General features: G+C 63.4%; 1 protein-coding gene and 1 long non-coding RNA gene across 3 annotated transcripts, besides 4 other annotated features; both read left to right on the forward strand.

The window, feature by feature from the left end:
• On the forward strand, positions 151–4,372 carry LOC105372841 (uncharacterized). Of its 2 annotated transcripts, none has more exons than XR_001755091.2 (3): positions 151–187; positions 1,423–1,515; positions 2,013–2,752. It is a non-coding gene; the product is annotated as an uncharacterized LOC105372841 (long non-coding RNA). The 2 variants fall into 2 exon arrangements; XR_937803.3 differs by lacking the exon at positions 151–187 and adding an exon at positions 4,096–4,372 and having other exon boundaries at positions 1,311–1,515; positions 2,013–2,658.
• Positions 4,334–5,196: an enhancer, noted in NCBI's record as "H3K27ac hESC enhancer chr21:47401442-47402304 (GRCh37/hg19 assembly coordinates)". NCBI's record gives its function as "activates a minimal SCP1, AML or CMV promoter by ChIP-STARR-seq in naive H9 embryonic stem cells {active_cell/tissue: H9 hESC(naive)}" and the evidence as "EXISTENCE:reporter gene assay evidence [ECO:0000049][PMID:30033119]".
• Positions 4,576–27,854, forward strand: COL6A1 (collagen type VI alpha 1 chain). The gene is made up of 35 exons (NM_001848.3): positions 4,576–4,753; positions 5,440–5,569; positions 7,075–7,275; positions 9,332–9,491; positions 9,750–9,878; positions 9,961–9,981; positions 10,305–10,325; positions 10,416–10,460; positions 11,890–11,943; positions 12,414–12,458; positions 12,558–12,584; positions 13,064–13,090; positions 13,184–13,228; positions 13,579–13,632; positions 13,785–13,847; positions 14,816–14,878; positions 14,970–15,023; positions 15,169–15,204; positions 15,554–15,616; positions 16,973–17,035; positions 20,227–20,289; positions 20,506–20,568; positions 20,927–20,977; positions 21,204–21,239; positions 21,703–21,765; positions 21,959–22,024; positions 22,463–22,498; positions 23,137–23,173; positions 23,565–23,573; positions 24,059–24,192; positions 24,767–24,876; positions 25,024–25,207; positions 25,333–25,516; positions 25,926–25,955; positions 26,197–27,854. The coding sequence occupies exons 1-35, from the start codon at positions 4,657–4,659 to the stop codon at positions 26,817–26,819; spliced, it is 3,087 nt and encodes a 1,028-aa protein (NP_001839.2). The 5' UTR covers positions 4,576–4,656; the 3' UTR covers positions 26,820–27,854.
• Positions 5,197–6,057: an enhancer, noted in NCBI's record as "H3K27ac-H3K4me1 hESC enhancer chr21:47402305-47403165 (GRCh37/hg19 assembly coordinates)". NCBI's record gives its function as "activates a minimal SCP1, AML or CMV promoter by ChIP-STARR-seq in naive H9 embryonic stem cells {active_cell/tissue: H9 hESC(naive)}" and the evidence as "EXISTENCE:reporter gene assay evidence [ECO:0000049][PMID:30033119]".
• Positions 17,597–18,412: an enhancer, noted in NCBI's record as "H3K4me1 hESC enhancer chr21:47414705-47415520 (GRCh37/hg19 assembly coordinates)". NCBI's record gives its function as "activates a minimal SCP1, AML or CMV promoter by ChIP-STARR-seq in primed H9 embryonic stem cells {active_cell/tissue: H9 hESC(primed)}" and the evidence as "EXISTENCE:reporter gene assay evidence [ECO:0000049][PMID:30033119]".
• Positions 18,413–19,228: an enhancer, noted in NCBI's record as "H3K4me1 hESC enhancer chr21:47415521-47416336 (GRCh37/hg19 assembly coordinates)". NCBI's record gives its function as "activates a minimal SCP1, AML or CMV promoter by ChIP-STARR-seq in naive H9 embryonic stem cells {active_cell/tissue: H9 hESC(naive)}" and the evidence as "EXISTENCE:reporter gene assay evidence [ECO:0000049][PMID:30033119]".

A 27,854-nucleotide genomic window follows, 5' to 3' on the forward strand; every position in this document is an offset into this window, starting at 1 on the left:
ACTGCACATTCAAGGCCCTCTCCTCCATCCTTCTTCCTCTCCCTCCTCCCACCCTCTCCCTCCTCCCACCCCCTCTCCCCTCCTCCCATTCTCTCCCTCCTCCCACTCTCTCCCTTCTCCCACCCTCTCCCTTCCCACACCTGGAGACTCAGATCCCCCCAGGGCTGTGGACGACTGGCACAGTGGGGTAAGTCCTGCTCCCCACAGCTGCTTCTGGGATCCCAGACTGGGCCCAGAGTCCCCATCCACAGAAGGGCCGGCAGGCCTGAGAAAGGACAGCCAGGTCGCCAGGGAGGGGATGTGGCTCGCCCCCTTCTTCCCTTTCTCTGGAAGTGCATTTACCTCCCCCCACACACAGGCGGGGTTGCAGGGCCCTTCCCAGCCAGACCCTGCAGTGCAGCTCTCTGGGAGGCCCCCCAGGGCAGTGGTTTCCTGGCTCTGTGCTTCCTAGGATCCTGGAAGCCGACTGGGCTGGGGTTGGGGGGTGGAGCCCCATGGGAGAAGGATCTCCTGCAGGAATGGCCTGGATGGGGGCTTGGGGGTGGACATGTGCCAGAGACACCTGGGTAACTTCAGGAGAGAGGAGGGAGGGGGAGAGAGGAGGGAGGGGGAGAGAGGAGGGAGGGGGAGAGAGGAGGGAGGGGGAGAGAGGAGGGAGGGGGAGAGGGGGGGAGAGAGGAGGGAGGAGGAGAATAGGGGATGGGAGAGAGGAGGGAGACGGTGAAGGGGAGAGTAGGGAGCCGGAGAGGAGAATGAGGACAGGGGAGAAGAGGGAGGGGGAGATGAGGAAAGGGGGAGGGGAGCAAGTGTGAGAGGAGGGAGGGGGAAAGGAGGGAAGGGGGAGAGGAGGGGACAGGAGAGAGGAAGAAGGGGGAGAGGAGTGAGTGTGAGAGGAGGGAGGGGGAGAGAGGGGAAAAGGGGGAGAGGAGGGAGGGGGAGAGGAGGGAAGGGGGAGAGGAGTGAGCATGAGAGGAGGGAGGGGGAGAGAAGTGAGCGTGAGAGGAGGGAGGGGGAGAGGGGACAGGAGAGAGGAGGGAGGGAGACAGGAGTGAGCGTGAGAGGAGGGAGGGGGAGAGGAGTGAGCATGAGAGGAGGGAGGCGGAGAGGAGGGGACAGGAGAGAGGAGGGAGGGGGACAGGAGTGAGCGTGAGAGGAAGGAGGGGGAGAGGAGGGAAGAGGGAGAGGAGTGAGCATGAGAGGAGGGAGAGGGAGAGGACTGAGCGTGAGAGGAGGGAGGGGGAGAGAAGAGAAAAGAGGGAGCAAAGGGGACAGGAGAGAGGAGGGGGGGAGCGGAGGGAGCTCACCCGCTGTGGGTGGGGCAGGTTGTGGAAATCAGCCCCATGACAACAGTAAGCTCAGCCAGGACTGGGATTCAGGATGTTTTATTTTCATGCTTTATGTGGTTTTCATGTTCTCCCTGAGACATAAGCATCACTTACAATCAGAAAAGATCCCTGATGAAAGTGCATGAAGGAACACAAAGCAGGCGACTGCACGTCTATGAACACGCTCACGGTACGGTGCACAGAGCAGGCGACAGCACGTCTATAAACACACTTATAGCACGGTGGCCACGGTGGCTCACGCCTGTCATCCCAGCACTTTGGGAGGCCGAGGAGGGCGGATCACCTGAGGTCAGGAGTTTGAGACCAGCCTGGCTAACATGGCGAAACCCTACCTCTACTAAAAATACAAAAATTAGCTGGGCATGGTGGCATGTGCCTGTAGTTCCAGCTACTTGGGAGGCTGAGGCAGGAGAATCACTTGAACCCGGGAGGCGGAGGTTGCAGTGAGCCGAGATTGTGCCACTGCACTCCAGCCTGGGCGACAGAGCAAGACTCCATCTAAAAAAAAGAAAAACGCTTAAGCAGAAACACACTGAAGTATTAGCTCTGAATCCCACTCGGTAGTGAAACTAGATGTTGCTTTATGATTTTAAAAAATTCGCTATGATGAACATGTATCTTCTTCATAAGAGAAAGAGTCAAGTTTACTCTGAGTCATCATTGCAGATTTCCTGTGAAGCAGAGGCACCTCTGGGCCCCACCCAGGCCTGGGACCGCCCTGAGCCTGAGCCCCTCACACAGTGCGGCCCCAGCCCTGCCTCGGAGAAGCCCAGGCCAGGATGAAGCCTGGGACCGGGGGAGGAGTCGGACCGCGGCCCTGGAGCTCAGGATGCTGCAGCCTGGGGTGTCGGCGTTATTCCCACGCATCTCCACAGCTCCCGCCGCACCCACCCCGCGGACCTGCTGGCGGAGCCGGTGGTATACTGTGAACTGACTTATGAAACCACCTCTGCAAGGCAAAACAGGCCATTGGCCACTGGGCCCCGTGAACCTGTCCCTGGGCGTCCGCATCTCTTCCATCTTACAGACCGTGTGTCAGCCACCTGCTGCTGTGTGCCTGTGGTGGGACCCTCACTGCAGGGAATGCTGCATTCTTGGTGTTTGCTTACACAACGTGTTCCTATTTCCTTTCCCAAATCTGCAAGCACTCCTTGCAGATAAAACAGCTCAGACTGGGAGAGGCCAAGAGAACACGGAGGTCCTGAAGCCCCCTGTGCTTGAGTCAGGAGCCCAGAGGCTGGTGCCACAGCTCCAAGCAGGCAGCACCAAACCTCAGCACCCACAGCCACAGTGTGGATGACATCAGTGGCAGGTAAATTGACTGTACAGTAAGTGTACAAGGCCAGGCACGGTGGCTCATGCCTGTAATCCCAGCACTTTCGGAGGCCGAGGCAGGAGGACCACTTGAGTCCAGGAGTTCGAGACCAGCCTGGGCAACATCGTGAGACCCCCATCTCTACAAAACATACAAAATTAGCTGGGTATGGTGGCACATGCCTGTGATCCCAGCTACTCGGGAGGCTGAGGTGGAGGGATCACCTGAACCCAGGAGACTGAGGCTGCAGTGAGCTGTGATGAGGCCACTACGTTCCAGCCTGGATGACAGAGTGAGCCCCTTAGATAATAATAATAATAATAAGGAGGAGGAGGAGGAGGAGGAGGAGGAAAAGAAGGAGAAGTACTTTACAACTTCTGTAACGTAGGTGTGGGGAAAATATTGAAGGCAATCCAAAAACAGTCACTGTGGAGTTGTGGAATTAAGTATCAATTTTAAAGGTTTTTTCAAATGTTTCTTTAACATGGTTTTTGGTATGAACAATTTGTGTACGTTTTAAAATTATAAGACATTTAGGCTGGTGTTAGGCAAGTCTCAGCAGCTCCAGCTTTGGGAAAGCTCTTCTGGGACCTTCTGTGGGCCAGGGATGCATCTGGCCACATCTGGAGCCCACCCCCAGGTGATATCAGGGACAGCCCCTCTCTCCTCTCTCTGTCTCTCTTTCTGTCTCTCTGTCTCTGTCTCTCTGTCTCTGTCTCTCCGTCTCTGTCTGTCTCTCCTCTCTGTCTCTCTCTGTCTCTGTCTCTCTGTCTCTGTCTTTGTCTCTCTCTGTCTCTCCTCTCTCTGTGTCTCTGTCTCTGTCTCTCTCTCTGTCTCTCTCTGTCTGTCTCTCTGTCTCTCTCTGTCTCTGTCTCTCTCTGTCTGTCTCTGTCTCTCCTCTGTCTCTCTGTGTCTGTCTCTCTGTCTCTGTCTTTCTGTCTCTCTCTCACTGTCTCTGTCTCTCTCTGTCTCTCTGTCTCTGTGTCTCTCTGTCTCTGTCTCTCACTGTCTCTCTCTCTGTCTCTGTCTCTCTGTCTCTCTGTCTCTCTGTGTCTCTCTGTCTCTGTCTCTCTGTCTCTGTCTCTCCTCTGTCTCTCTGTGTCTCTCTCTGTCTTTCTGTCTCTCTGTCTCTCTCTGTCTCTGTCTCTCTCTCTGTCTCTGTCTCTCCTCTGTCTGTGTCTCTGTCTGTCTCTCTGTCTCTGTCTCTCTGTCTCTCTCTCACTGTCTCTCTCTGTCTCTCTGTCTCTGTCTCTCTGTCTCCACACACAGCATATATAACAACTATATTGTGAGCAACTTTGTCTTCCCACGGTACAAACTGAAATATCTTTGGCAAATACGTATCCGACTATACTGTGAAGAAATATTGACGTGAAAAAAGAACGCGGAGATCTGATAAAGCAACAATTCAGCTCACGGCGAGGTCCTCTGCAGGAGGCGGTTGGTGGGAAGAGGCGAGTGAGCCTGCCCGTGCGTCCCGCATGGAGACGTCTGGATTGGAAACTACCGAAAGATGTTTCAAGGAACTCTCCCTGGGTGACACGCTGGTTTTCAGACGTTTGATTCAGCTGCTGCAGTTTCCTCCTCCCTGACACGGGAACTGAACTGCAGGCCGCGGCGAGCCAGCCAGGGAAACCGCCTTCTCCCTGGGCTCGGAGCTGCTGCCGGTTCTGGAGGGAGAGACCCCAGCAAGGAGGTGGTGACTCATGGGCCGCTCCTCCCCGCCCCGCCCCGCCCCTCCCCTCCCGCCCCGCCCCTCCCCTCCCGCCCCTCCCCTCTCCTCCCGCCCCTCCCCTCCCCTCCCCTCTCCTCCCGCCCCGCCCCTCCCCTCCCCTCCCGCCCCTCCCCTCCCCTCCCGCCCCTCTCGCCCCGCCCCTCCCCTCCTTGCCCTCCGCTCTCACTCTGGCTGGGAGCAGAAGGCAGCCTCGGTCTCTGGGCGGCGGCGGCGGCCCACTCTGCCCTGGCCGCGCTGTGTGGTGACCGCAGGCCCCAGACATGAGGGCGGCCCGTGCTCTGCTGCCCCTGCTGCTGCAGGCCTGCTGGACAGCCGCGCAGGATGAGCCGGAGACCCCGAGGGCCGTGGCCTTCCAGGGTGAGTGGTGGCTTGGGGTGCAGGCTCCAGACCCCCCGCTCTTTGCTGCCGGCCAGGGCCAGATGCGCGGGGTCCCCTCCCACGCGTGGAACTGCAGACTGGGGGCCTGGAGCCCCTGAACCCCACTCCCCGCTCGGGGCGGCTGCAGCGCCCAGCTCTGCCCCACCGGGCCTTGGCCGGGGCCCCTAGAGGCTCAGCATTCAGCATTCTCAGCGGGGCCGGACCGCAGGCAGCTCGGGAGGGGCTCCCTGGCGAGGGGGAGCTGGTGCGGGGCTGTCTCGGCGCCCCGTGAATCCGTTTGACCCCTCACCTGGCAGTGAGTCCAGACGCACGGCCCCCCCGACCCCCGTTCTAGAAGAAGTCGTGCGCTGCTGGTTCTGAATCCAGCGAGAAACCTTCCCGTGAGGTCTCACTTGTCCGGTCCCGTGCCGGGGACGCCCTGCCCTTCGGGGGAGGTTGTGAAGGTTTCTGACTCCCCTCGAGGCACAGGAGCGGTTTGGGGTCTCTCACTCCACCCCCTCCCCACCGTCCCCACCGAGGGACGTCCTGCTGCCTTTTCCCGGGAGAGCCTCTCCGGGCCCGGGGCTCTGTGCTGCAGGCGCTGGGCTGGCCGGGAGGGCAGGCCCAGCAGAGACTCGGGGAATGGGGCGAGAGCTTGAAGGCCCCTCTCCTCCATCTTCGGCCAGACTGCCCCGTGGACCTGTTCTTTGTGCTGGACACCTCTGAGAGCGTGGCCCTGAGGCTGAAGCCCTACGGGGCCCTCGTGGACAAAGTCAAGTCCTTCACCAAGCGCTTCATCGACAACCTGAGGGACAGGTAGGAGGGACGCCCCGTGACCTTCCTCCTGTGCTTCTGGGCCTCTTGGAGGGAGGGGTGGGGGCCCAGGGGAACACGGGTGCGACGGCCTCAACCTCCTAAGGTTGGGCGAGCGTTGCCCTGACCGGGGCCCCTCCCGGCGCCCTCCAGAGTGAGGCCGGGGCCCTTTCCGGCGCCCTCCAGAGTGAGCTGGTCTGAGCCTCTCCCAGCGCCTTCCAGAGTGAGCTGGTTTGAGACCCTGCTCGCGGGGGTGGCACCTGTTCAGCAGGGCCGAGGTGACAGTGAGGCTGAGATGTAGGGAAGAGAGGCTCCCGCAGGCTGACCGAGAGGGCTCAGCGCACTGGCCCAGACACGCAGTCCTGCCTGGTGCGCGGGAGCCCCTCACTAACCACCTGGACCCTGGTTTGTTCCGTGGGCAGTGAGAGCCTCTACCTGGGTCCTGGATCCCACGTTCTGAAGGTCCCCGACTCGGGAGCCAGGAGGGGTGTCGCTCTGCAGCCCCAGGGCCCCCAGGCTTGGTTCTGGGCTTGGGACACGGCACCCTCTGCTCCACGTTCCTCCATCTGTGCGTGTGGCTGAGGACAGACCGGGGGGAGAGGGGAGTCGGTCCTGTGGGTGCACAGGGCCGCTGAGGGGGGGGCATGTAGAACGGGGCTCCCCCACTGAGACGGGTCCTGGCAGTGGGGACACAGCTTAGCCGGCGTAGGAACCCCCGTCCTCCTTGACCCTGCTGACTGGCCGCTGGGCCGGAGCCTCCCGCCACCAGAAGGGGCACAGTCAGAGGCTGCCGGTAACAGCAGGGTGGACCTTCCAGCCCACACCGTGCCCAGCAGGAGCCATTGGTACCAGGAACCCTGAGCTTAGTGGACATGGCCAGGCCCGTGCGGCAGTGTTTGGGGGGGGGTCTGGCTGTGGATGGCACCGGGGAGGGGCGGCCGCGTGGCCCAGCGTCCCCCGAGTCGCCCTTGTTGCCTTTACTCAGTCTCCCCATGACTCAGTTTCCCACCTGTGAAATGGGGCGGAGTCATCCCCATGTCGCTGCCACTGGATTCCTGCAGGCGCCGTGGTCACTCTGCTGAATGGATGGGAGGGTGGGTGGGGCAGAGGTGGGCCCACCCCAGGCTGGGGCAGAGCAGACCCCTGAGAGCCTCAGGCTCAGGTGCTCAGAGGGCAGCGAGGGGGCTGCTCAGATCCCCGGGGTGCCTCCTTCCCCCACTGTCATGCTGCCCCACTGCAGGCCCAAGGACCCCACCCCAGCAGGGCCACACACTCAGGGCTCCTGGTCTGAGGGCCTGAGGGATCGGGGCGCAGGTCGCTTGCTGGCCACACCCGCCTGCACAGCCTTCCAGGAGGGCCGGCCTCAGGGCCACAGGGCAAGTCCAGCTGTGTGTCAGCCACGGCCAGGGTGGGGCAGCCTGTCCATCTGGGTGACGTCGCGCCCTGGGACGGGTAGCGATGGCGCCAGGGGCCGCCCGCCTCACGCCCGCCGTGCCTGTTCCTGGCAGGTACTACCGCTGTGACCGAAACCTGGTGTGGAACGCAGGCGCGCTGCACTACAGTGACGAGGTGGAGATCATCCAAGGCCTCACGCGCATGCCTGGCGGCCGCGACGCACTCAAAAGCAGCGTGGACGCGGTCAAGTACTTTGGGAAGGGCACCTACACCGACTGCGCTATCAAGAAGGGGCTGGAGCAGCTCCTCGTGGGGTGAGTGGCCCCCAGCCTCCTGCCCACGCCAGTTCTCACGCGTGGTACCCAGCCTGGGCTGGGGTTGGCCTGGGGTCCCTGTGCGGCTTCAGCTGCAGCCTCCCTGTTCTCTTGGAGGCTGCACGGCCTCCCTGACCCACTTTGTGGGCAGGAAAGAGACGGAGACAGACAGAGACAGAGAGAAACAGAAACAGGGAGAAACAGACACAGAGAGAGACAGAGACAGAGAGAGATAGAGACAGAGACAGAGAGAGACAGAGACAAAGAGTGACAGAGGGACCAAGACAGGCAGACAGAGACAAACAGAGACAGAGACAGAGACACAGAGAGAGACACAGAGAGACAGAGACGGGAACAGAGACAGGCAGACAGAGACAGAGAGAGACAGAGACAGAAACAGAGACAGAGGGACAGAGACAGGCAGAGAGAGACAGAGAGACAGAGACAGAGACAGACAAACAGAGACAGAGAGACAGAAACAGGGACAGAGACAGAAAGAGAGAGAGACAGAGGGAAACAGAGAGAGACAGAGACAGATAGAAAAAGACAGAGGCAGAGAGAAGCAGAGACAGAGAAACAAAGACAGTCAGAGACAGACAGAGACAGAGACAGAAACAGAGACAGAGAGACAGAGACAGAGGGGCAGAGACAGGCAGACAGAGAGACAGAGACAGAGACAGCGAAACAGAGACAGAAACATACAGAGACAGAGAGACAGAGAGAAGCAGAGACAGACAGAGGCAGAGAGACAGAGAGAAGCAGAGACAGGGACAGAGACAGAGACAGAAATAGAGAGATAGAGACAGAGGGACAGAGACAGAGAGATAGAGACAGAGAGGGAGACAGAGAGATAGAAGCAGAGAGAGAGAGACAAAGACAGAGGCAGAGAGACAGAGAGAGAAGCACAGACAGAGACAGACAGAGAGACAGGGACAGACAGAGACAGAGAGACCGGAAACAGAGGCAGAGAGACTGAGAGACTGAGAGAGACGGGGTGGTTTTCCCCACAGCATCAACACCAAGCAGGGCTAGGATCACTGAAACAGACTCATCAGACCCGAAGCATGCGCTTTCTCGGGGTTTTTCTGGACTGAGGGGTTTCCTCTCATCCCAGTGTCCAGCTGTGGGGACGCAGGGGCCGCAAGCCCCGGAGTGTCCAGAGGGGAACGTGGCCTCCCCACACCCAGCCCTTCACGAGGCCTCAGGATCCCAGTGGGGGTACCCGAGGCTGCCCTGTCCAGCCAGGCGGTGCGGGGGGTTTGGGGAGAGCCTCTCCCCGAGGTCGGTCTCAGAGGGCCACATGGCCGGTGTGGGCCGGACATTCCCTTTCCAATGGTTGTGCCCACTTCCCTCCAGAGTTGGTGCCAAGCTGGGACCTGGGGGACTTGGAGTCTCAGGAAGTCGTCCGCTGTCTGCAGGGGGTGCATGGGGGATGTGGCCACACACGTCAGAGTGCGGCCCCCTGTGGAAGCCACAGACAGACACGACTCCCCTAAATGAGCTCGCCCTTCTGGCCGAGATGCTCAGCGTCCCCAGCAGGCTGCCCGACTGCCCTGCGATACTGCCCTCCTTCCTGCTGCTCCCACTTTCCCTTTCGGGGGGTTGGATTTGGGGCATTCAGGGATCGCCCTGTTGTTTGCTCATCACACCCATTTCCTGCAAGAGCCACGGTGACCGAGCAGCCTTGAGTTGAGGCAGCTTGTGGGTAGACGCGGCGGGCATCTCGGAGGGGCACGCTCCCTGCCACCCTCAGCCTCCACTCACTGGTCAGGGGCTTTGCGCCCCAGGGCACCCCAGGAACCGAGCCTCCTTTGGGGTCATGGGTGCCTCTCCTGGGAGGGCGTGGATTTTCCAAAGCAGTTTAGAGAAATGAGACCCACAGGCGTTATTTCCCATGGTGAGGTTCTTTTCAGTAACCCCCACCGTATAGCCAGGATCAGCAAAGAGAGGCGGCTCCTCCCGGTGAGACAGGGACCAGCACCTCCCGGACAGGCTTGGGTCTCCCTCCAGTTCCCCCACCTAGTCTCGAGGTCTCACGCTGCCCTCTCCTGTCCAGGGGCTCCCACCTGAAGGAGAATAAGTACCTGATTGTGGTGACCGACGGGCACCCCCTGGAGGGCTACAAGGAACCCTGTGGGGGGCTGGAGGATGCTGTGAACGAGGCCAAGCACCTGGGCGTCAAAGTCTTCTCGGTGGCCATCACACCCGACCACCTGGTAGGCACCGGCCCCCCCCGGCAGATGCCCCCAACCACAGGGAGTGGCGGCTGCAAGGCCCCCGGCAGCTGGGACCGTCTTTTGGTCCTCGGGAGGGTGTGGGTTCTCCAGCCGGCCACCCTTGCCCCTGAGAGGCCAGCCCCTCCTGCTGAGGAGCCTGGAGCGCCCCAGCCCAGCCTCCCCTCTGGCCCTGTGGGAAGCGGCCCCGGCCGTCAGGGGTCCCAGCCCTGCTCAGCCCACCCTGAACACTGCCCCCAGGAGCCGCGTCTGAGCATCATCGCCACGGACCACACGTACCGGCGCAACTTCACGGCGGCTGACTGGGGCCAGAGCCGCGACGCAGAGGAGGCCATCAGCCAGACCATCGACACCATCGTGGACATGATCGTGAGGCCCCTGCCCAGGAGACGGGGAGGCCCGCGGCGGCCGCAGGTGGAAAGTAATTCTGCGTTTCCATTTCTCTTTCCAGAAAAATAACGTGGAGCAAGTGGTAAGAGCCCTCCCCACCACCCCCAGCCGTGAGTCTGCACACGTCCACCCACACGTCCACCTGTGTGTTCAGGACGCATGTCCCTATGCATATCCGCCCATGTGCCCGGGACACATGTCCCCTGCGTGTCTGCCCGTGTGCCCGGGATGTGTGTCCCCCTGCGTGTCCACCTGTGTGTCTGCCCATGTGCCTGGGACATGTGTCCGCCTGTGCGTCCATCCGTGTGTCCGTCTGCCCATGTGCCTGGGTCGCATGTCACCCTGTGTCCCAGCCGTATGTCCGTGGCTTTCCCACTGACTCGTCTCCATGCTTTCCCCCCACAGTGCTGCTCCTTCGAATGCCAGGTGAGTGTGCCCCCCGACCCCTGACCCCGCGCCCTGCACCCTGGGAACCTGAGTCTGGGGTCCTGGCTGACCGTCCCCTCTGCCTTGCAGCCTGCAAGAGGACCTCCGGGGCTCCGGGGCGACCCCGGCTTTGAGGTGAGTGGTGACTCCTGCTCCTCCCATGTGTTGTGGGGCCTGGGAGTGGGGGTGGCAGGACCAAAGCCTCCTGGGCACCCAAGTCCACCATGAGGATCCAGAGGGGACGGCGGGGGTCCAGATGGAGGGGACGGCGGGGGTCCAGATGGAGGGGACGGCGGGAGTCCAGATGGAGGGGATGGCGGGGTCCAGATGGAGGGGACGGCGGGGTCCAGATGGAGGGGACGGCGGGGTCCAGATGGAGGGGATGGCGGGGTCCAGATGGAGGGGACGGCGGGGTCCAGATGGAGGGGACGGCGGGGTCCAGATGGAGGGGACGTCGGGGCTCCAGATGGAGGGGACGGCGGGAGTCCAGATGGAGGGGACGGCGGGGTCCAGATGGAGGGGACGGCGGGGTCCAGATGGAGGGGACGGCGGGGTCCAGATGGAGGGGACGTCGGGGCTCCAGATGGAGGGGACGGCGGGAGTCCAGATGGAGGGGACGGCGTGGTCCAGATGGAGGGGACGGCGGGGTCCAGATGGAGGGGACGTCGGGGCTCCAGATGGAGGGGACGGCGGGGGTCCAGATGGAGGGGACGGCGGGGTCCAGATGGAGGGGACGGCGGGGTCCAGATGGAGGGGACGGCGGGGTCCAGATGGAGGGGACGGCGGGGTCCAGATGGAGGGGACGGCGGGGTCCAGATGGAGGGGACGGCGGGAGTCCAGATGGAGGGGACGGCGTGGTCCAGATGGAGGGGACGGCGGGGTCCAGATGGAGGGGACGTCGGGGCTCCAGATGGAGGGGACGGCGGGGTCCAGATGGAGGGGATGTCGGGGTCCAGATGGAAGGGACGGCGGGGTCCAGCAGGCAGGCTCCGGCCGTGCAGGGTGTGGACTGTCCCGGGGGCGCTGGGGGCTTCTGAGGGTGTCTCTGTCCGCCCTGCCCTCAGCCGCACTCTGTTCAGAAGGACCTTTCTGGAGGTAGGAGGGTGAGAATGTGGGTCCCCTGCTTCTGTGTGGCTCACATAGGATGACCTTAAACGTTAGAATTAGCTGCTGATAATTAAAACTTGCCATGAGGCTGCTCATGGACCTCAGATTTCTGGCTTCTCCTAAAAACCATCAAACCCAGCAGCTGTGGGCCCGAGTCCCATGGCCATTTCCTGGGGGTCGAGCTGTGACCCTGGGGGGCTTCTGTGCTGCACGTCCCTCCCACCTGTGCCTGGGGGTCAGCAAAGCCGAGCAGACAGGAACGAAGGCAGGGAGTGGGGGGAGCTGGCGTGCGGGTTGGAGCTCCCAGACCCAGGCTGACCAGATGTGATGGGGAAGGTGCTTTAAAGCCCTTGATCCCTGAAGGCTGGATGAAGCGTCTTTTTAAAAACCTGTTTCGTGAGCCAGCTTTTTAGAAAGAAACGGGGCTGCCCCAACCTTGACCTGTTTTGTGTTCCAGGGAGAACGAGGCAAGCCGGGGCTCCCAGGAGAGAAGGGAGAAGCCGGAGATCCTGTGAGTGCCTGACTGTGGGGTGGGGGCCCTAAGAAGCTGGAGGCGGGGAACGACTAGGCCTCGGAAACTTCCGGAAGAGTGGCTGGGTTCTGAGTGCCAAAGTCACACTGCCTGTTCCTTGTGGGTGGGAGCAGACCTGGAGGGGCCACAGCCCAGCCATCCTTCCACACAGCCCCCCAGGCAGCCCGTAAGCCCCCCTGCCAGGGAGGGGCTGGGTGGGGAGGTGGCCCAGGGTGCTCAGGCCGGCACCGTCCGGGGCCCCTGCCGTGGCTCCTTGGCCCAAATCCTATCCATAGACTTCCCTCCCCCAGCTCCACCTTGGAGGGCCTCGGCACCATGGGCCCCGTGCAGCAGGGCCCCTCTCTCGGCCTGACCAGGCCTGGGCTGGAGGGAGGGGTGTGGGGCTGGGTGGGACTGGCCCCTGCCCCTGCTCCTCCGGGGGTGTCTCACCATCTCCTCCTGTGTTCCAGGGAAGACCCGGGGACCTCGGACCTGTTGGGTACCAGGGAATGAAGGTACGTGCCCCCCCTTTCCTGGCCCGAGCCCGGTGGTGCCCTCAGCCTTGCACAGCACTAACAAGCCTTCCTCTTCCTCTTCTTCCGCTGGGTGTGTAGGGAGAAAAAGGGAGCCGTGGGGAGAAGGTGAGTGAGGCTCGACCTCGGAGCTGGTCTCTCCAGGCGCAGATGTGCCATCCTGGACGAGGGTGTCCCCGGGGATGAGGACAGTGTCCCTGACAGGAGACCACGTGTCCTGCAGACCCGCTCCACCGCCCCTCGCCGTCCCCTCCATCTGGAAGGACAAGGACAGCCACCCAGGCACCCAGCAAAGGCGCCTGTGTCACTTTCACCCCACCCCAGAGCAGGGGTCCCCCGGGCGGTTACCCTCTGCGGAGCCGGGGGTCCCCCGGGCGGTTACCCTCTGCGGAGCCGGGGGTCCCCCGGGCGGTTACCCTCTGCAGAGCGGCCCCTCCCCATCACTGTCAGTCCCCATGATTCTCAGCAGTGATGTTGTCCCCTCGGGTTGGGGGCACCCAAGCCCCTGCCTCGCGTGGGCCTAAGCCAGGCTTGCCCTGCCCTCCCCACCCCAAATACCCCCTCACACCCGCTTCCTGTCTCCGCAGGGCTCCAGGGGACCCAAGGGCTACAAGGTGAGCGTGGGCTGCTGGGAGGGGGGAGTTCTGCCCCCACGGCAGCATGTCTGACCTGCATCTGACTCCTGCCTTCGTTTTCCCGCCTCACAGGGAGAGAAGGGCAAGCGTGGCATCGACGGGGTGGACGGCGTGAAGGTGACTGGGGGGAGATAGGATGGACGGGGAGGGACGAGGAGGAATGGGGCGAGATGGGGAGGGACGGAGTGGACGGCGTGAAGGTGACCCGGGGAGGGATGGGGTGGACAGTGTGAAGGTGACCAGGGGAAGGACGGGGAGGGACGGGGAGGGATGGGGTGAGGTGATCCCGGCAGGAGGGACAGGGAGGAGTGGGGTGGACGGTGTGAAGGTGACCCCAGGGGGGTGTCTGCTAGGCAGGGCTTTCCAGGGAGGGTGTGGAGGGCATGGAGGGCACCAAGTCTGACAGTTGATTGGCCTCAGTTTACCCACTTGGCCGTCAGATTTTCTAGTTTTCTTCCTCTTTCCAGGGGGAGATGGGGTACCCAGGCCTGCCAGGCTGCAAGGGCTCGCCCGGGTTTGACGTAAGTCACTTCCTCTCACTGATACTTTAAAACTAGCGCTGTCAGCAGCACCTCGTGTGGACCGTTTTGACTTCTGTCTGGGCGGTCTGGGGCTGCTGCCAGAGGCCGCGGTGGCCTCTGCCGGTGGTGTCATGCTGCCCTCTTTTCTCCAGGGCATTCAAGGACCCCCTGGCCCCAAGGGAGACCCCGGTGCCTTTGGACTGAAAGGAGAAAAGGTGAGTGACTTGCGGCCCCTGGAGGACCAGGGCCTTCACGGTTGGCCAAGCGCTGAATTGGAAACCTCTCCTGGAAGCAAGTCCTGGTCCGAGCATGTCGGCCACCCGTGCGGCCTCAGAGGGGAGGAGCTGGTGGAGGCTGGAGGCAGGCAGAGGAGCAGCGGGGACAGTGCCCACCGTGGGGACAGTGGCCGTGGCGCTCCCGCCCAGAGCCTTCCCTGCAGCCCGAGGGCCTTCAGGCCTCCGCCATTCTGTCCCCCGCACCTGCCGCTCGCTCGGCACAGATGGGACCCCACCGCGTCACTCCTAGCCTGCGAGCCGCAGCCCAGAATGGCTCTCAGAACTGAGAATGGGCTGGGTGGCACTGAGGGTGGCGAGTGGGCGGGAGGGTGGTGAGCGGGGGCGGGAGGAGGGTGGTGAGCGGGTGGGAGGGCGAGTGGGCAGCGGGAGGGCGGGAGCACGAGGCGGGAGAAGGAGCTTTTTCGTCTGACAGCTGAGTCTGCCGTTGCTGGTGTTTTCTCTGGAGTTTCTTTGTTGAAGCTGAAGTGTTGGGGAAGACAAAGGCGAATGCTGACCCCACCCCAAACATTCCCAGACGAGCTCCTAGAACCCAGCAGACGGTTTCCAAATCTCATCTTCAAGTTCCCAGATTACCCTCCAGGCCCTAGATTTGAGTTTGCCAATTTGCCAGCCTGGCAAAGCTGTGCCTTCTCTAATGGGAACCAAATCCTGCCCCTTAGACAAGATGGCCCTTGGCTGGGCCTCACAGGGAACAAGGTTGGAGCATTCCAGGAGGTCTTTGTGCAGGGTTGTGGATGGCTGAGGGTGCTGGGGGGTCTGGGCTCAGACAGTGTTGGTCAGAGGGAGTGGCCTGAAGTATGGGTGAGAGGCCCTGGATGTGGCCTCTGATGGCTGCACCCCTGGTGCACACCCCTGCCAGCGTGTGTGACTCCCCCGGTCTTCCCCAGGGCGAGCCTGGAGCTGACGGGGAGGCGGGGAGACCAGGGAGCTCGGGACCATCTGGAGACGAGGTGAGGAGCTTCACAGCCCCCACACATGCCAGGTATGGGCCCAGGGAGGGTCAAGGAGATGGAGCGACCATTCAACCCTTGTTCCCCACAGGGCCAGCCGGGAGAGCCTGGGCCCCCCGGAGAGAAAGGAGAGGCGGGCGACGAGGTGAGTGAGGGCTCCTGACACCTTCCTGGGGAAGTGCATGGCCTCAGCTTCTGATCCTCTTTGCTCGGGGTCTACTCCACGTCCCTGAGACCAAATGCAGTGTGTCCACCAGACTAACGCCGGCGTCTGTTTCTCTTCATCCCAGGGGAACCCAGGACCTGACGGTGCCCCCGGGGAGCGGGTGAGTGGGGCAGGGGCAGCCTGCGCTGTTGGCCTCACCATGTAGCTGTGGACGTGGCCTCTGCGGCCCAGTCTGGCCCTCCCAGCACTGAGAGCCATGGCCTCCTGCCCAAGACAAATGGGTTTCTTCACCCACACGTCCAGGATGCCTCTTCCCACAGTCTCAGAGCGGGTGGGACCTGGGGAACCAGGAGATTCCGGCCTCTGCAACCGTGGGGCATGCGGTGGAGGGGTGGCCCCTCCCAGGGGTCCTGCTGGGGGAGTCAGTCCAGGCCAGGCCTCAAGCCCCACCCCAGCTGGGTGTGAGTTCCAGCAGCTGAGGCTTCTCCCCTCCATGTCTCTCCACTCAGGGTGGCCCTGGAGAGAGAGGACCACGGGGGACCCCAGGCACGCGGGGACCAAGAGGAGACCCTGTGAGTCACAGTTCCTGGAGCTGGGAACCACCCCAGGAAGGGGCAGGCGGAGGCTGGGGCTGGGTCAGGCCTCCAGAGCCACAGGACACATCATGAAGCCCCTGTGGCCCCTCAACGTGGCCAGCCCATCCCCACGCCGTCAGGGAGGGCAGCCCCTGAAGCCGGCGCCCAGCCATGTGCCTGATGCTGGGACCTGTTTCATGTGAAGGCGTTGCCCGTGGACCCGGTGCCCACTTTCCCACCAGGCGGCTTCCACGTTTCTGCATCCGAGCTTGGGTTCTTCTTTGGAATAATTTTCCTTAGTTAAAATTCCCAGCGTGAGGAAGTTGGGTCAGTACCCCAGACGGGAAGCTAGGCCTGCAGGGCGCCTGCCTGGGAAGGCTTGACATGGAAAACTCACCCCAGAGCCGAGATGCCGGCGGCCTCAGAGGCCACCCCCCACCTTCAGCTCCGTGGACCGTGGGCCTCGCTAGGCCACCCCACAGCCCAGCCTCAGGGTGCAGAAGCACAGGGCCCTTCTCTGTCCCTGTGACTTGCTGGGAAATCTGTGCTGGATGTGGGGCGGGGCAGCTGGCAGACTCCGGGCGTCTCAGTCCCATCCGGCTCAGGGAGAGCCAGGGCCTGGCGGGCAGAGTGAAGGGGAGAGAATGCCCTAGTGTGCCCAGCCGAGCTGCCAGGCCTCAGAGGCAGCGCCCCCGGGTGCCCCCTTGTCCGAGAATCAAGACATGCGACTGTCGTGTGCTGTGACAGACAGGCGGGGCTCCAGCAGGGCCAGAGAGCTGAGCCGGGGCCAGAGTCGCCGCCACCGAGGGATTTGGCTCCCCAGTGGGGGGTGGGGGATTTCTGACCTCCTCCCTGGGAGCTCCCCAGAAGCGCACAGCCCCCGTGGAGGGGTCGGGGGGACGTCAAAGCAGGGATCGTGTGACTTAGTGACTCAGACTGCCTTCTAGGCCCACTCCTCTGAGATCAGGATATGAGACTGACAGCCAGGCAGAGCCCAGAGGAAGGGCCAGCCACGCAGCTCCAGCTTCCCGGCGGGCCACAAGTCCATGGCTACAAACACTTGCCGGGTCCACGGAGCTTGCTGGAGAAGCAGGGATGCACGCAGGGACGCCTCTGGGGCCCCAGGAGGAGCTGCCGGCCTCCTGAATGAAGATAGCCATAGCCAGCCACGCCGATGGCCACGCACGTGGGCCGAGGAAACGCTTGGCGAGGCCAGGAAGGGGCTGTGCGGGGAGGGAAGGCCGGAACAGCCCAGTGACCACCTGGACAGCATGCTGTGGCTCCCAGCGTGCCCGGGCAGCCATCCTCCCCAAGGATGGCCCAGCTCCACACTCACGGCTCGTTTCTCTTCAGGGTGAAGCTGGCCCGCAGGGTGATCAGGGAAGAGAAGGCCCCGTTGGTGTCCCTGGAGACCCGGTAGGAAGCGCTGTGGGGTTGGGGGGCGTTGGCCAATTTGGGTTTTGGGGGTAGAAGTGCTCCAGCAGCTCACGCACTGGGGGTCTGTTCATTTCCGTTTGAGGGCCTCTGTGTTTCCGTAGATCTCGGGGGTGTCCCTGCGTGGGAGCCGGCTGCAGGGGGTGAGGCGCGGCCTGGGCCGGGCTGGTGTGGATTGTTGAGAGCAGGCCCAGCGCCCGGGGGCCTGACGCTGAGACGCTCAGCCCAGGTGGAGAAGCGCTGTCTGGGGGCCCATCCGGGGCAAGGGTGCCTCACAGTGAGGAAGAGGTGTTGGAGCCCCTGGGAGACACTGGGAGCTTGGTCAGCATCTGTTTTTCTGGGTCAGGAGCCAGGCATGACTGTGGCTGGAGGTCAACTGGGGAGTGTGAGGCTATGGAGGTTTCCAGAATCCCAGGGTGTCAGGATGAAAATGCACTTTCATCTCATTCTAAATTCCCTTCTCCGAGCCTCTGGAATCGCTGTGCACGCCGCACGGCTTTCTGTCTCTTCCCCCATTCTGATGACTGCCATGATGGTGGCTCCAGTGTGGTGTTGCCCGCAGGCTGGGCTGGGCCGTTGCATCCTCCCGGAGCTCACCTGCCCCACGGGGACAGGAAGGCCTCCACACGGTCACGCCCGGAGACAGCAAGTCTGTGCTCCCGAGCTTGTCTGCTTCTGTGGACAAATCGACCTTACGGCTCCATGTGCGCAGCTGCCCACACACCGAGCACAAGGCCAGACCCTGGGCACGGCAGCTGTCTCAGACGTCCAGCAAGATGGGGCCTCAGACCCAGGGAGATGGGAGAGGCCGTCCCAGTGCAAGTCACATTTGTATTTCTGTGCACGAGGTGAAATCGTGCTTTTGTGGTGCCAACGGGTGTTACACAGCTGTTAAAAATACCTGTGTCATAGATGAGGACCAGGGCAGGGCTTGGCAGGCGGGGTCTGGGCCGTTCGTCCACCTGGTCCTGCGTGCCGCTCACGGCAGGGGCAGAAAGGGCTCCCGACACCTTCCTGGGGAAGTGCACGGCCTCAGTCTCTGATCCTCTTTGCTCTTTGAGCTCCCGGGGCTCCAGCCCTGAGGATGATCTGACCTCCCATGTGGTCACCCAGGACAGGGCCAGGTGCAGGGCACAGTGCGTGGAAGAGGCCATGCAGCCAGTGGCAGATTGTGGGGAGGGGACGGCCCAGGGCCACGTTCCAGGCTTGGGAGGCTGCTCCAGACCTTGGTAGCTGAAAGTCTCAGTGGGAATGAGCGTTCAGAGGCCAGGACTTGCTCGGAGAATTCTAACCACACCCTGCCTGTTTTATATGTTCAGTTTTCAAAGTAATCAATAGCCACTATAAGAAAAAAACAAAGCCACTTTCAAAGGGTTGTGGTAAGAGGCAGTCCTGTGAGCAGGCCGGCTGCAGGGCCTCCAGGGCTGTGGGGCAGGCTGCACAGGGGCTGGTGGGTCCCATGCCTGGGGGTCTGGGAATAGTCTCTAGGCTGCTGTCCTGGAGGAGGTTTCCCCCAACGCCTGAGACCAGGGCACCATGTGACCCATGACTCACAGTTGCCTGGCTGAGGCAGGCACTTGTTCACCTGGAGCCTCCCTGGGGCCTTTCGGGGCCCGGGGGTGTGGATAGGTGGCTTTGGAGCCACATTTGTCCATCGGGACGTTGGGCTCCCAGCTGGCCTTCCGGGCTTTCCCTGCTCCCAGAACCTCCCTGCTCAGCCCTTGCCAGCCTTACCCCTCCCCTCCACCCTGCCCAGCATGGGGCTCTCCCTGTGTGGATGCCAGAAGCAGTTGGGCCCTCAGGGCTGGTCCCAGGAGGTGCCCCCAGTGAGGTGCTCTGCAGAAACTGCCCAGTCTGGCCTCCTGCTGTCTGTGGCACAGTCTGACTGTGTGTGGTGAGGTCCAGGCCTTCTGCCTCCCACTTACCTGGCCCAGGGCACAGAGACCTCCTTTCCATCCTTCCTCCTGGCCCCCTTTTCGTGTTCCCAAGGCAGGATCTCAGGGTACCAGACTAACCCCTGTTGAACCCCAAGTTTGGTGAGCTTCTGGACCTCCTTGAGGCCCGTGTGCAAAGTCCCCAGTCAAGTGTGCAGTCCTGACTGCTGGGGCGTTGACCACGAAGGGTGCAGGAGCTTCACAGCCAGGCCTGGGTGCTTGCACAGTCGGGGTAGAGAGAGCAATACACTAGATGCCTCCTGTCTGCCTGGTGGAGGCCACGGGGTCAGGATGGTGAATGGGCCAAGTCTGGTAGTGGGGAAGTTGTAAACATTTGAACCACCGGACAGGCCTCATCGGGAAGCATCAGCCTAACCACAGGCCAGGGACAGGCGTCTGAGCAGGCACAGGCCAGGGACAGGCGTCCGACCAGGCTCATGGCTGGGGCCAGGTGGGCCAGGTGGGCCAGGTGGGCCGGGCGATGTGTACACGGCTCCCTTCTTGGCTCAGCTGGGCGCGCTGGGAAGTGCTTGGGGTGCCTGGGCTAGACTCCGAAGGGCAGGGACTCGCCGCTGGAGTTGTCCACGGAGCAGGCCCTCAAAGGTGGGAGCTGGGGCCAGCTCTGGAAATAGACCCCCACAGGGTCCTCATGAGATGTGGGGGACCCAAGGAAGTCCAGCAGGCAGCCTCAGGTGCAGGTGGGGGCAGGGTGGTGTCCAGGCTCAGCCCACAGAGGGTCCTGCGGTTGGGGGTGGGCTAAGGGGACCAGGCCAGGCCCAAAGGGGACCATGAGGGAGGGCAGTCTGGGGCCACTCTGATAGGAGAAGGGGCAGGTGGTCTGCGGCCTGGGGACCTGTAGCCTCACCCCTCCGTGGGGACCTGAGGCACCAGCCGGGCACTCACCGAAGTCATCTGGGACAGGCTTCACCCTTCCGTGGGGGCCTGAGGCACCAGCCGGGCGCCCACCAAAGTCATCTGGGAGAGGCTTCACCCCTCCGTGGGGGCCTGAGGCACCAGCTGGGCGCCCACCGAAGGGCTTCAACACTTGTGCCCAGGCCCTTCGTGCAGGCCCTTCGTCAGACCCAAGAGTGGGCCTGGCTCTCCCCCTGCACTGATGGGACTGGGGCCAGAGCCTGGGGGCCCTGATGCCTCTTGGTCTGAGACCCTCAGCTTAGGGTCAGGGAGGGCTCAGGCTGGGTGAGGCCTGTGGTCCAACGTGCCATATCCATCTCTCTACAGGGCGAGGCTGGCCCTATCGGACCTAAAGGCTACCGAGGCGATGAGGGTCCCCCAGGGTCCGAGGTGAGTCCCACTCCCCACCCACACCCGCCCACCCAGGGGGGCCTGAGGATCCAGAACCCACTGTCTGCCCAGTGCTGGCCCCGTGCCCTCTGAGGACTCTATGGCCCTGGGTGTCCTGGCTCCCGATGGGACCTCTCCCGGCCCCAGGAGGGCCCTGCTTCCCTCCAAGGTCACCATGCTAAGCCTGCTCCCCTCACGCCTCCTCTTCCTCCTCAGGGTGCCAGAGGAGCCCCAGGACCTGCCGGACCCCCTGGAGACCCGGGGCTGATGGGTGAAAGGGTGAGTGTCCAACAGCTCGGGCCCTAGGGCGGAGGCCTGGCCGCCAGAGGCCCTGGGAAGCCCCAGCCCCGCACTGTGGAGCTGCCTGGGGTCCCTGACCGGGCCGGGAGTGCCCGCAGCATCACTGGCTCCTGGCCACAGTCGGCACCTGAGCCAGAGGCCGCCTCGGCAGGGCCCCTCCTGCCCCGAGATCCGGGTCCCAGGGTCCACGGGGACCAGCAGGGTGGCCCCAGGGGAGGGAGCCGGCTTCTGGGCTGACGGAGGGGCCCTGCGGGTGAGGTGCTCCCGGGCCTGTGCCAGCCAGTGGGTATCCCAGGCCAGGCCGATTCGCACGGTGACGGCTACTCTGCTCCCCCAGGGAGAAGACGGCCCCGCTGGAAATGGCACCGAGGGCTTCCCCGGCTTCCCCGTAAGTGTCCGGAGGCTGAGCCCACAGGAACATGCCCAAGCTGCCTGCGGCGCCCTCTTTAGTGGACTGGGCACTCTTGGGTGGGCGGGCTGGCCCCAGGACCGCCGGCTGGCCCAGGAATTCCATGGCCGGGATTCTGTCAGCTCAGGCCCTTCCGCTGTGCGCCCCTCACAGCCTCCCCTCTCAAATCAGAACCCGGTATCACTGCCCTGCTTTTCCATGACAGGGGTATCCGGGCAACAGGGGCGCTCCCGGGATAAACGTGAGTACGCCCCCTCCTCCATCTGGCTGTGGGCACACAAACATTCACAGTCACAGGGACACGCACGTGTGAACACACATGTGCACACAGGCTCCCGAGCAAACACACGGGGTACACAGGCACCCACGGCTGCCCCACTGTCTGTGGCCACAGCCCCAGTTGGCATCGGCTCCTGCAGGCCCTGCGAGGCTCCCACTGTGGTGTGGCCTGTGGGTCTCCTCACGGCCCTGACTGCCCGGTGACCGATCTCCCCTCGGTGCGCAGGGCAGGCCCAGCCCCAGAGGCCGCCCCACGGCTCTCTAGGCCACTCCGGGACCCAGTTTCTCCAGCCCAGGAAATGTGTGTGGTGGGGGAAGGGAAGAGAAGAGTGCCTCTCTTATCTTTATTTTTTTCCTTTTAAAATTTCCACTTCCTAAAAACAAAATAAAACCCTTGTTAACCAAGTGCTCTCCCGTCACTGCAGGGCACGAAGGGCTACCCCGGCCTCAAGGGGGACGAGGGAGAAGCCGGGGACCCCGGAGACGATGTAAGTGTGGATGGGAGGCAGGGCCAGCCCCAAGTCCACCTGAGCCAGAGGGCTGGGCCCTTGAAGGGCAGTGGACCAGGACCCGCTTGGGGAGGCCTCATGGGCCCCGGCTGCTGGATGCTCTGTGGACGGGGCCAGCGCGCAGATGCCCGGGTGGTGCACGGTCTGTTGACACAACGCTGTTCCCTTCTAGAACAACGACATTGCACCCCGAGGAGTCAAAGGAGCAAAGGGGTACCGGGGTCCCGAGGGCCCCCAGGTGGGTGGATGTGGCTGGGTGAGGCCACGGTGGGCTGTGCCTGGGACGCCGGATGCTGGGGCTGGGGAATGCTGGAAGAGGCTGGGAGAGTGGGAGGCGGCGGGAGGGAATTTTGGGGAGCACGTCATCTGGGAGGCCCTGGGGGTGGGAGGTGCCGGTCACCAGGGCCAGGTGGTGGCCAGGGCAGCAGAGCCGAGCCCAGGGACACAGCGGGTCCTCAGGGTGGGGCCCACCTGGGATGGCCGCCTGGACCACCAGTGTGCGAAGCCCCAGCTGCCCTCACAGCACCGTCACTGGAGGACGAGGGGCTGGGTAGGGAGGGACCGGGCAGGGGTGGGCTTGATGAGGGGCAGGGCCCTGGGGGTGGGGGCTGTCTCAGCTCAGGAAGCACAGTGGGCTCCTCACCCTCAGAGCTCCTCTACTCCGTTTCTCGGACAGGGACCCCCAGGACACCAAGGACCGCCTGGGCCGGACGTAAGTGGGGCTCTGTGAACATTGCTGGGGGCGACCACTGTAGCTTCCATCCCTTGGGGTGTGGGTCCTGTCCATGGGTGCTCCTGTAGACGCTGCTCACGGGGGGGTGGGTTGTGGACAAAGAGCTGGTGCCAGGCCCTAGGGACCCGTGACGGCCATGGGAGGACCCGTGAGGATCATAGGGGGATGTGTGAGGACCATAGAGGGGACATGTGAGGATCATGGGGGACATGTGAGGATCATGGGGGGGACGTGTGAGGATCATGGGAGGACGTGAGGATCATGGAGGGGGACATGTGAGGATCATGGGGGACCCGTGAGGATCATGGGGGACCCGTGTGAGGATCATGGGGGGGGACGTGTGAGGATCATGGGGGGACCTGTACCCATGAGGACCATGAGGGGACCCGTGACGGCCACGGGGAGACCCATGACTGCGCTGTTTCTATGACCACGTCAGGGGTCCAGCCCAGTAGCAGGGGTGTAGTGGGCAGAGCCGGGCACACCTGCAAAGAACCTCCTGCCCAAACCCCGCCCTGTGGGGGCCCCAGGGAGGGTGACCTGGAGATCCAGCAGCCCACAGTCCCCGCTGGGAGGGGCTGTCTATGGCCCCAGTACCCTCGTCTCTCCCTCCCCAGGAATGCGAGATTTTGGACATCATCATGAAAATGTGCTGTGAGTATCTCTGAGAAGCCGTCCTCGTTAGGGAGAGCAGGGCCGCCAGCCTGGCCTGTTCCACTCCTAGAAGGGTGTCTCCACTGTTGGGGGCCTGGGTCTCTGGGTACATCCTTGAGGAGGCTCCTCAGCCAGCCCCTACCGGCCTCCAAAGCCCTCCCAGGCCCCCGGGTCCCCGCACAGGCTGAGAGTCCCCGGTGCGGTGCAGAGCTGCCACGTGGGGAGGGCGGCCGGGGAGGCGGGGAGGCGGGGCAGGAGGCCGGGGAAGGGGGGAGGCCGGGGAAGGAGGGCGGCCGGGGAGGCGGGGAGGCTGCCCCAAGAGTAAAAGCCTTTCTGACGTGCGCAGGACGCGGCCCTGACTGGTCTAACTGACTCTTTCTCTTCTCCTCAGCTTGCTGTGGTGAGACCCAGGCTCTAGCTCCTGAGAGAATGGATCCCGGGGGTCGGGGAGCGAGGCCTGGGTCCCACACATGTCACAGGACAGCACATGGCACTCTGGTCCCCGCCCGCAGCTCCCTGCACCTGCCCGCCCCCTCTGGGGCCTGCTCCAAGCCAGCAGGGTTCCCGGGTGTTGGGCTGGGCCCCGCCCTCTTTCACCCATAACTGAAATAACCAGGAGCAGGCTTGGGGGGGTCCCTGCTCCATCATTCTGGCCCACAGGCCCCACCCTAGCCTGGCTGAGCAACGCCAGCCCTGACCAGCCGCCGGACAGAGCAGCCTTTACGGGGCCATGGGAGGGGGTGGGCTTTTCTGGGGCTGAGACGGGGGGACCCCAACGTGTCAGGTGAGGATGTGGCAGCCAAGGAGGGGCCAGGGCGGTGGAGGGGAGGGGCCAGGGCACTGGAGGGGAGGGGCGTGCTCTGCTGACACCGCCCCCGCCTGCAGAATGCAAGTGCGGCCCCATCGACCTCCTGTTCGTGCTGGACAGCTCAGAGAGCATTGGCCTGCAGAACTTCGAGATTGCCAAGGACTTCGTCGTCAAGGTCATCGACCGGCTGAGCCGGGACGAGCTGGTCAAGGTGAGGCCTCGCCCCGCCCGGCTTTCTCAAGCCCAGGTGCACCCCGACCCTGCCGGCCGCCCCTGCCCGCGCCAGACCTCAGCCTCCCGAGGCCACCGCTGCATCCCTGTGACTTCCCTACTCATGACAAGGATGCCAGGCACGCGCCAGCCCGTCCAGGCCTCCAGCTCCACCTGGCGAGGCTGGCCCATTGTACACAGGCGCCCCAGATGAGGGAGGGTCTCCCCCTCTCCTTGAAGGGCGGTAGTCTGGGGTCCTGAGTGCTGGGTGTGGGCTTGTCCCTCGTGGACAGAACCCAGGAGGGCTTCATCCACCAAGGAAGATTGCTTTGCAGGGTACCCAGGTCCCGGGGGCTGTGCCACCCTCTGGGCACCCGGAGCCAATCGCAGGGTACCCAGGTCCCGGGGGCTGTGCCACCCTCTGTGCACCCAGAGCCAATCGCAGGGGACCCAGGTCCTGAGGTCCTGGGGGCCATGCCACCCTCTGGGCACCCGCAGCCAATAGAGTCACCCTTGGGAAGCTTATGCGGACCTGGGGCAGCACTCGCGTCCTGACCCCGGTGCCGGTCCCACAGTTCGAGCCAGGGCAGTCGTACGCGGGTGTGGTGCAGTACAGCCACAGCCAGATGCAGGAGCACGTGAGCCTGCGCAGCCCCAGCATCCGGAACGTGCAGGAGCTCAAGGAGTGAGTGCCCCACGCGGCCAGGACCCTCCCACCCCTCGCCCCGACCGCTGTTCCCACGGCAGGTCGGCCCTGACCCCTGATCCCAGGTGGGCTCGGCCCCGCGGCAGGCCTGGCCCCAACCGGCCCTTCCTGCCCTTTGCTATGCAGAGCCATCAAGAGCCTGCAGTGGATGGCGGGCGGCACCTTCACGGGGGAGGCCCTGCAGTACACGCGGGACCAGCTGCTGCCGCCCAGCCCGAACAACCGCATCGCCCTGGTCATCACTGACGGGCGCTCAGACACTCAGAGGGACACCACACCGCTCAACGTGCTCTGCAGCCCCGGCATCCAGGTGGGGTGGCCACCCCCAGGCTGCACCTGCCCCGCCTAGGGCGCCCCGCCAGCCAGGGTGGCCTTGTCCCCAGAAAGACGAGGGCAGAGCAGGCTGCGCCACACCGATACTGTCTGTCCCCACAGGTGGTCTCCGTGGGCATCAAAGACGTGTTTGACTTCATCCCAGGCTCAGACCAGCTCAATGTCATTTCTTGCCAAGGCCTGGCACCATCCCAGGGCCGGCCCGGCCTCTCGCTGGTCAAGGAGAACTATGCAGAGCTGCTGGAGGATGCCTTCCTGAAGAATGTCACCGCCCAGATCTGCATAGGTGCGCATGGGGCCACCCGGGCAGTCCCAGATCTGCGTAGGTGCGCGCGGGGCCGCCCGGGCAGTCCCAGATCTGCGTAGGTGCACGCGGGGCCGCCCGGGCAGTCCCAGATCTGCGTAGGTGCACGCGGGGCCGCCCAGGGCCGTCCCAGATCTGTGTAGGTGCGCGCAGGCGCCCAGGGCTGTCCCAGAGGCCTCCTCCCAGCTCACTGTTACCTCCAGGGGCACGGCCACCCTGTAGGTGCGCACGGGGCCGCCTGGGGCTGTCCCACAGGCATCCTCCTCCCGGCTCGCTGTGACTTCCGGGGGCACGGCCACCCCTGTGCTCGGCCGGGAGGTCCTGTGACATCTCCTTGCGGGGTTATAGGTGGAGCAGTGGGCTCACACTGCACGGCTTTTCTCTTTTACAGACAAGAAGTGTCCAGATTACACCTGCCCCAGTGAGTACCTCGGCGGCCGGGACACGTGGGGAGGAGGGCACCGTGGTTGGGGCGAGGGCTCTGAGAGGACGGGGCTCTGGGAGGAGGGCCTGGCGGTCACGAGAGTAGGTGCATGGCTCACTCCGGTGGCTGAGCACCACCGTGCCGTGCCCTCTCTGGGGAGCTTAGACGCTCTCTGGCCGGCCCACTGCGGCTGCATCACCAGGGCCTCATGCTAACGGCTGCCCACCCCGCCCCGCAGTCACGTTCTCCTCCCCGGCTGACATCACCATCCTGCTGGACGGCTCCGCCAGCGTGGGCAGCCACAACTTTGACACCACCAAGCGCTTCGCCAAGCGCCTGGCCGAGCGCTTCCTCACAGCGGGCAGGACGGACCCCGCCCACGACGTGCGGGTGGCGGTGGTGCAGTACAGCGGCACGGGCCAGCAGCGCCCAGAGCGGGCGTCGCTGCAGTTCCTGCAGAACTACACGGCCCTGGCCAGTGCCGTCGATGCCATGGACTTTATCAACGACGCCACCGACGTCAACGATGCCCTGGGCTATGTGACCCGCTTCTACCGCGAGGCCTCGTCCGGCGCTGCCAAGAAGAGGCTGCTGCTCTTCTCAGATGGCAACTCGCAGGGCGCCACGCCCGCTGCCATCGAGAAGGCCGTGCAGGAAGCCCAGCGGGCAGGCATCGAGATCTTCGTGGTGGTCGTGGGCCGCCAGGTGAATGAGCCCCACATCCGCGTCCTGGTCACCGGCAAGACGGCCGAGTACGACGTGGCCTACGGCGAGAGCCACCTGTTCCGTGTCCCCAGCTACCAGGCCCTGCTCCGCGGTGTCTTCCACCAGACAGTCTCCAGGAAGGTGGCGCTGGGCTAGCCCACCCTGCACGCCGGCACCAAACCCTGTCCTCCCACCCCTCCCCACTCATCACTAAACAGAGTAAAATGTGATGCGAATTTTCCCGACCAACCTGATTCGCTAGATTTTTTTTAAGGAAAAGCTTGGAAAGCCAGGACACAACGCTGCTGCCTGCTTTGTGCAGGGTCCTCCGGGGCTCAGCCCTGAGTTGGCATCACCTGCGCAGGGCCCTCTGGGGCTCAGCCCTGAGCTAGTGTCACCTGCACAGGGCCCTCTGAGGCTCAGCCCTGAGCTGGCGTCACCTGTGCAGGGCCCTCTGGGGCTCAGCCCTGAGCTGGCCTCACCTGGGTTCCCCACCCCGGGCTCTCCTGCCCTGCCCTCCTGCCCGCCCTCCCTCCTGCCTGCGCAGCTCCTTCCCTAGGCACCTCTGTGCTGCATCCCACCAGCCTGAGCAAGACGCCCTCTCGGGGCCTGTGCCGCACTAGCCTCCCTCTCCTCTGTCCCCATAGCTGGTTTTTCCCACCAATCCTCACCTAACAGTTACTTTACAATTAAACTCAAAGCAAGCTCTTCTCCTCAGCTTGGGGCAGCCATTGGCCTCTGTCTCGTTTTGGGAAACCAAGGTCAGGAGGCCGTTGCAGACATAAATCTCGGCGACTCGGCCCCGTCTCCTGAGGGTCCTGCTGGTGACCGGCCTGGACCTTGGCCCTACAGCCCTGGAGGCCGCTGCTGACCAGCACTGACCCCGACCTCAGAGAGTACTCGCAGGGGCGCTGGCTGCACTCAAGACCCTCGAGATTAACGGTGCTAACCCCGTCTGCTCCTCCCTCCCGCAGAGACTGGGGCCTGGACTGGACATGAGAGCCCCTTGGTGCCACAGAGGGCTGTGTCTTACTAGAAACAACGCAAACCTCTCCTTCCTCAGAATAGTGATGTGTTCGACGTTTTATCAAAGGCCCCCTTTCTATGTTCATGTTAGTTTTGCTCCTTCTGTGTTTTTTTCTGAACCATATCCATGTTGCTGACTTTTCCAAATAAAGGTTTTCACTCCTC

Source organism: Homo sapiens, chromosome 21 (assembly GCF_000001405.40).
Source record: "Homo sapiens chromosome 21, GRCh38.p14 Primary Assembly".
Lineage (NCBI taxonomy): Eukaryota > Metazoa > Chordata > Mammalia > Primates > Hominidae > Homo > Homo sapiens.